We start from the raw sequence: 9128 nt of genomic DNA on the forward strand, positions 1-9128 counted from the left end.
TTGAAAATTTTGTAAAGTGCCCCATTAACATAGGTAATAGCACCAATAAAAACAGTACATTATACCAAATGTAAGTAGAAACAGTGAGATCACTAAATGTTTATTCGTTCTTTCTAGGATGTTGATGTGGAATACACACTGCCCACCCCCCACCACACACACACAGCTGGCTTAAAAGGGGCAGCTACTATAACACAATCTTGAACAAATCATCACGCCATCCCCCTGGGGAAAAGGACACTAACCCTCTGCATCTAAATCTCATCTGGGGCAGATATTTGAATCTGGAAAGCCCAACTTCAAGTCAATGTCAGTCTTTAGATAAAACTCAAAACTACTTTTGACACAAAACTAGTCTTTTGTGCCAATTATTAATTTTTTAGGAGAAACTATCAAACATTTCCTCTAAGAAAAAAAATGGGGAACATATAACTAAAAGGAATACTTAGACCTTGCTTAACAATACAGAATTTCAGATGACTGAATCAGGAGGTGGAGGGGGAAAAGTAACAAGTGCAGAGACATTCATATCCGAAATCTAGCAAAGTAAGGGGTCCTCATCGAATAAAATGCACCTATAAATCATGAGCAAGAAACGAATCTGCATGTACAACCTACACAATCACAAAAGCAGCCAACGAAGAACCCAAAAACGCACGACTTTCTGTAGGAAAAGCTACCTTCATCAAGATAAAAAGACTTTTACAAAACCCAAGACTAAATTTTGGTTCCATTTTGCTATCTTGCCATCTGGTCTGAGGTGCCTGGGGCCTTAGTCTGCAGAAGGAACACTGGGCACCATCTGGGTTGGGGACAAAGGCACTGGCTCTATCTAGCTTCTCTCCAACCACAAGCTACCAGTGCCCCTAAAAAGTCCCACTGACCATGGGCTTCACCTCCTGCTTGTGGACGCCCTCCCAGCAGCTCCTAAGAGCCCAAGATGCGGCGGGGGTCTCTGCTTGGTCAGCACCAACCACAGCAACACGCTAGAACGGTTTACACGCTTTCCGATGTTGACAGGATGGCTGTATGACTAATCCTCACATTTAATTCAAAGAGATTTTCAATAACTATTTCAAAAAGGAGAAAATTGCACAATCACAGGCATAATTCAAATCACTATTGCTGAATGCCTTGGTTCCTATTGAGATTTTTACTCTGCAATTTAAAATTACTTTGTAATTAAGAGGTGGGTGGCTAAGTTCATTTAAAAGAACCAAACAACTAAACCTATCCAATTTCGCTTGATTAAATAAAATCCTAGAAGGCCGATTCTGAAGATGCAATCGTAGAGGGCACACTCAGACACTCAGAGAGCAAGGGCTCAGGGAAGTATAACCCTGACCATCATCCTGGACTAAGCCGAGCCCGGCCCTCGAGGTACTCAGCGCACAGGCAAGCACAGGTCCTGGAGTCCTCGCTCGGTCAGTGCCCTGAGCTCTCCGTCTGATTTTTAAAAACTGGCACAGCTGCTTTTAAACACCGGCACATTTTTGTGGCACAAGGGCCACCAAACGGGACCCAAAGTACAGGTCCTTAACTTCCAAGATCCCGAAGTGGACATGCACAGATTTGCGCTCTCTGGAAAGGGGAACTGCAAGCCCAAGCTCGGGCGCGCCGCGCTTCCCACCGGACACCCACCCGGCCGAGCCCGGCCACTCCTCGCACCCACCCGGGCGGTTTCACCCGCCCCGCCGGCCCCACCCACGGGCTGCGGGCGGCCCCGCAGGACAACCCTCACAGACGGCGGCAGAGGCCCGGCCCAGCCAGGACTCCACCCCGGTGACCCTGGGCAGACACGACTCCTCCCCGAGTCCACCCGCCAGGCAGAGGCGAGGGGCTACCTCAGCCCGCGAGGTCGCCGGACCCCAGGCCCGGACCAAAGCGGCGGAGGGGACGCCCAGCAAGCCCGCGGGGTCGCGACCTTCACCGGGACGCGGCCTACCTGCTAAGGACCGAGCTCCCCAGGCCCCCGAGTACACTCCGCGGCTCCCCCTCGCACCGGCCCAGGGCTCTCCCAGCCCCTTCCCGATCCCCGGGCAGGGGGCGCGGGGACCCGGCGCCCGCTCCGCTCGGACCCGCTGGGGACCGTCCCGCTCCTACCGCCGCCTCGCCCCCCGCCTGCCCTGCCCCGGTCCGCGGCAGGGACTCACCGCCTTGGCCAGCGCCAGCGCCAGGCGCCGAGCGCTTGGCAACCGCGACAGGCCCCGGACCCCCGACACGTCTGTAGTCGCCGCCGCGCAGTCCCGCCAGTCCCTGCGCAGACTGCGCCTGCGCACCACGGCCGGGTCAAGGCGGGGCGCTAGTGGGGGACATTGCGCCTGCGCACCACGCGACGCCCGGGCCGGGGTCTAATGGGCGGGGACGCCGCGCCTGCGCAAAGCGGACCCGCGGACCGTGGCGCTGGGTGGCCACGGAGGTCCCGCGCTCCCCGACCGAGATAGGGCGGGCCCTATTTCGGGGAGATGTTGGGCACCAACTTTTTTTAAAGCCCCGTGGGTGGTTCTCCGGGATCTCCCAGACCGAGAGGGCCTGAACGTCCAGACCTCAGGGAATGGGGTCGAAGGGGCGGCGCTCGTCCGCGGAGGTGGGCGGGAGCGGCCCGGGGCCTCCGGCCTCTAGGGAGCGGGAGTGACCCTCGGTTTCTGGCCTCCGAGGGGCGGGAGCGATCCTCAGCCATGTCCCTAGCCTCTGGCTTCCGGCTGATTTTTAAATTTTTGGTAGAGGCGGGAATCTTGCTCTGTTGCCCAGGCTGGTCTCGAACTTGTGGCCTCAAGCGATCCTCCCTCCTCGGTCTCCCGAAGTGCGGGGATTACAGACAGAGCCACTGCGCACGGCCGTGGTCAGCTTTGAAAGCTGGGTAGATCCCTTTGGCTCATACGCCTTTCTGCTAGCTTACCCTGATTCTGCTTCTGGTTCAGATAGTATTTTAATATTTCTAGTGTGTCTTTTTGTAAGATACCTGAAATCTTTTTGTGGAATGAAGTGGCATGAAAAATAAACCAATAATCATTAGTAATTATGTTTCCTGCCTTTTCACTTTATTAAAATCTTCGTCTTGTGCATCATGTTTAACAATTTTGAGTTATTTTAGTAAATTTGCAAGGGTTCGGTCCCATTTTATTGATATTTGGGTTGTTTCCTATTTTTGCTCTTAATAACACCGTACAGAACATATTTGTGACCATAACTTTCTCTTTAGGATTATTTTTTTTAGATGTATGCCCCAGACGTGGCCTTTATTGGCTTGCAGGGAATGAACATCATACCTCCTAGACTTATTTTTTTAAAGTTATGCTGTTTTAGTCCTGGGTTAGTTACCTAATTTTGTTTGGTTTGAGACGGAGTTTCGCTCTTGTTGCCCAGGCTGGAGTGGAATGGCGGGATCTCGGCTCACCGCAACGTCTGCCTCCAGGGTTCAAGAGATTCTCCCGCGGAGCTTACAGTGAGCGGAGATGGCGCCACTTCACTCCAGCCTGGGCAACAGAGCAAGACTATATTGCTTTAATTTACTCTGCCGGCTATCTGGAGAGATGCAACCTCATCAGCAGAAATTATTTCCACCTGCTGCTTTTTAAATGTTATTTCCTATAGCCAGGTACTGAGCCCTTCAATTGAGGTCTAAACCCTCCACCCTCTCCCTCCGGGATTGCCAAGCCTGTGGTTTCAGTTCCATGCTCCCAGGTAGATTATGTCAACTCAAAGTCAATGCGCTTATGAAATACTTTTTGTGGTTTTTTTCTTAATTTTAAGAGGTTTTTTTTTTAAATATGTTTTTGTTTCATGGAGGCGACACCCTCTGTCTCTGAGTTGTGGGAGCCTTCCTCCTTCAGTCTGCATGTACTGAAGCCACTGTTTGCCGTACAGCCCCTCAGCCGCAGCAGCCCACAGTGAGGTGCAGGTGCTCACGCCATCGCCCCAGAGAGCTCCTCCATTCGCCCCTCCACCCGTAGCCCCTCGAAACCACTGCCCTGCTCCCCGACACGGTACACTGTCTTCTCCAAGATGTCATGTGTTGGCATCCTTCGGCCTGTGGCCACCGAAACTAGCTTCCTTCACCGGGCATGTAGCCTGGGAGACCTGGGGCATTTGGGTGCATCTTTCCACTGCTGGTTGGTGTCCCCTATGTGGAAGCATCCGCGTTGGTTCACGCCTTCTCCTGCTCCTGCCGATGGACATTTTGTTTTCTTCCAGTTATTGGCAATGAGGAATGAGGCCTAAACACTTGTGTGCAGGTTTGTGTGTGCACGTTTAAGTTTTCCCTTGGGGGACATTTCAGCAGTGGGGTTGCTGGATGACATGGTAAGGATGTGCTTAACTTCTTAAGAAACTCCCGGACCACTTTCCAGCATGGCGGGACCCCTCCCATTCCCACTGCAGCTTATGAGGGTCCCAGTTCCTCTGCATCATCACTAGAACCTGGGTTGGCCCATGGGTTTTGTCTGTTTTTAGCCATTTTAATGGATTTGCAGAGGTACTGCTGACTGGCATTTCTCCAGCATCTCTATGATGTTGAGCCTCTTTCTCGGGCAATATGCCCTCCTTATACCTTCTTTCATGAGGCCTCCATTCCAATATTGGCCCTCTCTTTAATACTGGGGTTTTTACTTTCTTATGGTTAAGTTTTGATGGTTCTTCATATATCCTGCGTGCCAGTAGGTTGTGAGACGTGTGATTCACAAATGTTTATTTCTAGACCATAGTTTGTGTTTCATTCTCTTTGGATTTTTATATTGCTTTATAGAATTATAATTTTAAATTTATGACTACATTTAATTTGTCAATCTTATGAATCATGCTTTTGGTGTCATGTCTAAGAACTTTTCGCCTAACCCCAGGCCATACGAATTTTCCCCTGTGTTTTTACCTAAGGGTTTGATAGCGTTAGGTTCTCCATTTAGGCCTTTAATAAATGTTGTGTAACATTTTGTGACCGCCATGGCCATACCTTTCTCCATCTCTCACGGTATCGTGGGCATTTGCAGCTCCCAGTGCGCCGTGCTGTTCCCGTCTTCTTGGTCTGCTCCTCCTGTCATACCTTTCTCCGTCTCTCACAGTATCGTGGGCGTTTGCAGCTCCCAGTGCCCCGTGCTGTTCCTGGCTTCTTGGTCCGCTCTTCCTGTGAGTTCCAGGGCACGTCTTAGTGCTGGCACTGTCCTGGTCCATCGGGGGTCCCATGAGCTTCTCCATGTGGGAAGGTTGGGACTGTGATGTTGACGGGATGCCCTGTGAGTCAGGAGGAGGTGCTGACGGGGGTTTCCATGTAGGAGAGAGAGGTGTTTGGTATTCCGGATGGGGCAGACTTGAGAGGGGACAAACTTGAGAAATGCCACCAATGAGAAGTGCAGGCACAGCAGGTCTCGGGGCTGCCCAGCCGTGTGGGAGCCAAACGTGGATGTGTCAGTGGCCACACCAGGAGGTAAACCCTCAACCAAGGGCCTCTGGGTGTCCAAGACCAAGTCTTGCTCAAGAGGTGTGTTCAGCTGAGCCAACCATGGCAGAAATGCATAAGGGAGATCCCACGGTTCCTCTGTTTAAATCCCCTGCTAATCCCACCAGACTCAGAGAAGCAGCCAAGTCCTCACAGCAGCCTGCAACCCCCGCCTGACTCGGCCTCCTCTTGGCTCTGATTCTCTGTACCCTTCTATCCCTGTCTCTTCTTCCATCAGAGAGGAGATCCGGCACGTTTATCCTGGTGGATTCAAACCCATCTTTGCCCCATATATAGTCACCGGAATGAATAGGTATAATCTAGAAAGAGTCCTTTTGAAAAAGAAAAAAGCAGGCCGGGCATGGTGGCTCATGCCTATAACCCTGCAGGGACCAGCCCCACAGGGTCGGTGGGTCTCTCCCTGTGTGCGGCGATGAGAGAGTGTAGAAATAAAGACACAAGACAAAGAGATAAGAGAAAGGGCAGCTGGGCCCGGGGGACCACTACCACCAATGCACGGAGAACAGTAGTGCCCCGAATGTCTGGCTGCGCTGTTATTTATTGGATACAAGGCAGAAGGGGCAGGGTAAAGAATGTGAGTCACCTCCAATGATAGGTAAGGTCACGTGGGTCACGTGTCCACTGGACAGGGGGCCCTTCCCTGCCTGGCAGCCGAGGCAGAGAGGGAGAGGAGACAGAGAGAAAGACAGCTTATGCCATTATTTCCGCATATCAGGGACTATTAGTATTTTTACTAATTTACTACTGCTATCTAGAAGGCAGAGCCAGGTGTACAGGATGAAACATGAAGGCGGACTAGGAGCGTGACCACTGAAGCACAGCATCACAGGGAGACGGTTAGGCCTCCGGATAACTGCAGGCGAGCCTGCCTGATGTCAGGCCCTCCACAAGAGGAGGAGGAGCAGAGTCTTCTCTAAACTCCCCTGGGGAAAGGGAGACCGCCCCCCCCTTCTTTCCCGGTCTGCTAAGTATCGGGTGTTGTTCCTTGACACCTTTTGCTACCGCTGGACCACGATCCACCTGGTAACGGGCGTCTTCACAGACGCTGGCATCACCGCTAGACCAAGGAGCCCTCTGGTGGCCCGGTCCGGGCATAACAGAAGGTTCGCACTCTTGTCTTCTGGTCACACCTCACTATGTCCCCTCAGCTCCTATCTCTGTATGGCCTGGTTTTTCCTAGGCTACGATTATAGAGCAAGGATTATCATAATATTGGAATAAAAAGTAATTGCTACAAACTAATGATTAATGATATTCATATATAATCATATCTAAGATCTATATCTGGTATAACTATTCTTGTTTTATATTTTATTATACTGGAACAGCTCGTGTCCTCTGTCTCTTGCCTCGGTGCCTGGGTGGCTTGCCACCCACATAATCCCAGCACTTTGGGAGGCTGAGGTGGGAGAATCACCTGAGGTCAGAAGTTTCAGACCAGCCTGGACAACATGGTGAAACCCCATCTGTAGTAAACATATAAAAATTAGCTGGGCGTGGTGGTGCGTGCCTGTAATCCCAGCCACTTGGGAGGCTGAGGCAGGAGAATCATTTGAACCCAGAAGATGGAGGTTGCAGTGAGCTGAGATCGCGCCACTGCACTCCAGCCTGGGTGGCAGAGTGATATTCTGTCTCAAAAACATAGTAATAGGAATAATAAAGGAAAAGTGCAAAAATTCAAACAACTTAACAGAAACTGGGCAAAAGAGCTGAACCGGCCCTCCACAGAAGAGGAAATGTGGAGGAATGGCTAATGAAAACATGAAGAGGGGCTCAGCCTAACAGGGGGAGATATCATGTGACACCCACCAGACGGGCAAAAATCCCACCACCCAATCCATGCAGGTGTTGGGGAGAATGGAGAGAAGCAGGAACACCAGGCACTGCTAAGAACGCTTGTGAAGTATATTTCTGCTATGCTTGTATATGAAAGAGTGTGTGTTGTGGGTTATGAGGAAAATTACATTTCTTACCTGGGATGAAATTTTAAAACTTGAAAGCTACTGACCAGAAGAAACTTGCACTTGTGTACAAAAGAAACGCCCAAGAACGTTCCCAACAAAACACAGTCCTAAGGGCCCCAACCTGGCCAAACCCTCATCCACGGGAAGATGAAGACATTTCCCATGCTCCCCTCAGACGACGGGAGACCATGCAGCAATGAAAATGAGCCATGTCAGTGTGGGTGGGTCTCAGGGAGAGAATGGAGGACAAAAATAGACACAGAGCAGGTGCTCAGAGCCATGCAGTGCAGGAGCAGCCACGCAGGAGAATTCCCTCACGTCAAAGTTCAAAACTACAGCCGAGGCAACAGAGCAAGACCCTGCCTCAAAAAGAAAACAGAAAGTTCAAAAACTAAATGGCTTATTTTTTAGGGATGTACACACACGGTGAAAGAAATGTACTATGAAGGAAAGTGTGCAAATAATAAAGACTAAGGCAAGAAGTGATTCCCTCCGTAGGAGAAGGGAAGGGACTGGGACTCAGGCAGGGCCTCCAGGGAGCATCCAAAGCTATGTCTCTTCAGATTCTCCTCCCTAAACTTGGTGGAGGTCCTCTGTGTCCAATGTGTCAATATTCTTTATACCTTACCCATACTGTACAAATGCTTTATTTCTATTCAATATTTAGAAGACAGTTATAAACAGGATGCATTCAATAGCAAGGTGGCAGATGAACATCAGGAAGGAACATCCATGAGCTTCCATCCACGGAACCTCACCATGGATACGCTTGTGATCAAGGGCCTGGTCTCCCCTCAAGACACGGTCACAGATCAGAGGCCACACCATCCTAGCAGTGGAGCAGGACCAGCTGGGACAGGGTCCTTCTGTGACACCTGCTGCATCACCAGGCTGGGTGAACGGACACAATTGCCAGAACTCACAGAATAGAAGTATCAGCACCGAAACCTCACAGGAAAAATGGTAAGTTCTAAGTTTCTCCATTAATAGTAACTCTCAGATTAATCTCTGTCATCCATCGCTTCTCCAAGAAATGACTTTTTAGGGTGACGTGCCAGGCGCCATGTTGGAGGGCTGGTGGTAGCGGCTTGGGGAGGTGCTCACTCTGTCGGTCTCACTCTCTCACACGCTTCCCCTGGCTCCCTTCGTTCCCCCCCACCCCACTTGGCCTGCGTGCTGGAGGGTGTGCGAGGGAGTGGGAGGACGTCGGGGGGTGGGGGGAGGCGTTCCGGTCCCCAAGAGACCCGCGGAGGGAGGCGGAGGCTGTGAGGGACTCCGGGAAGCCATGGACGTCGACAGGCTCCAGGAGGCACTGGAAGATTTTGAGAAGAGGCGAAAAAGAAAGTCTGTCCTGTCCTGGATCAGCTCCTTTGTCATGTAGCCAAGACTGGAGAAACAGATTCCGTGGTCCCAATTTAAAGGCTATTTTATTTTCAAACTGGAGAAAGTGATGGATGATTTCAGAACTTCAGCTCCTGTGCCAAGAGGTCCTCCCAACCCTAATGTCGAATATATTCCCTTTGATGCAACAAAGGGAAGAATACTGAAAACTGTCACTGGATTTAACCGTATCCCTTTTACTATTCAGCGACTATTGAATTGTTAACAGATCCAAGGAGAAACTATACAGGAACAGACAAATTTCTCAGAGGAGTAGAAAAGAACGTGATGGTTGTTAGCTGTGTTTATCCTTCTTCAGAGAAAAACAATTC

At 50.7% G+C, this 9128-nt stretch overlaps 2 pseudogenes across 1 annotated transcript in view, besides 2 other annotated features; one reads left to right on the forward strand and one right to left on the reverse strand.

Moving 5' to 3' along the window:
• Positions 1 to 2243, reverse strand: part of SDHAP1 (SDHA pseudogene 1) — a 30359-nt pseudogene extending 28116 nt beyond the window's left edge. Inside the window, exon 1 of the transcript NR_003264.2 lies at positions 2154 to 2243. The product of NR_003264.2 is annotated as an SDHA pseudogene 1 (transcript). The remainder of the gene's footprint in view (positions 1 to 2153) is intronic.
• Positions 1659 to 1818: a silencer, noted in NCBI's record as "silent region_15049". NCBI's record gives its function as "represses an Ori minimal core promoter by ATAC-STARR-seq in GM12878 lymphoblastoid cells {active_cell/tissue: GM12878}" and the evidence as "EXISTENCE:reporter gene assay evidence [ECO:0000049][PMID:35858748]".
• Positions 2156 to 2455: a silencer, noted in NCBI's record as "silent region_15050". NCBI's record gives its function as "represses an Ori minimal core promoter by ATAC-STARR-seq in GM12878 lymphoblastoid cells {active_cell/tissue: GM12878}" and the evidence as "EXISTENCE:reporter gene assay evidence [ECO:0000049][PMID:35858748]".
• On the forward strand, positions 8474 to 8814 carry LOC100131360 (serine/threonine-protein phosphatase 4 regulatory subunit 2-like; annotated as a pseudogene).

Source organism: Homo sapiens, chromosome 3, assembly GCF_000001405.40.
Source record: "Homo sapiens chromosome 3, GRCh38.p14 Primary Assembly".
Classification (NCBI taxonomy): domain Eukaryota; kingdom Metazoa; phylum Chordata; class Mammalia; order Primates; family Hominidae; genus Homo; species Homo sapiens.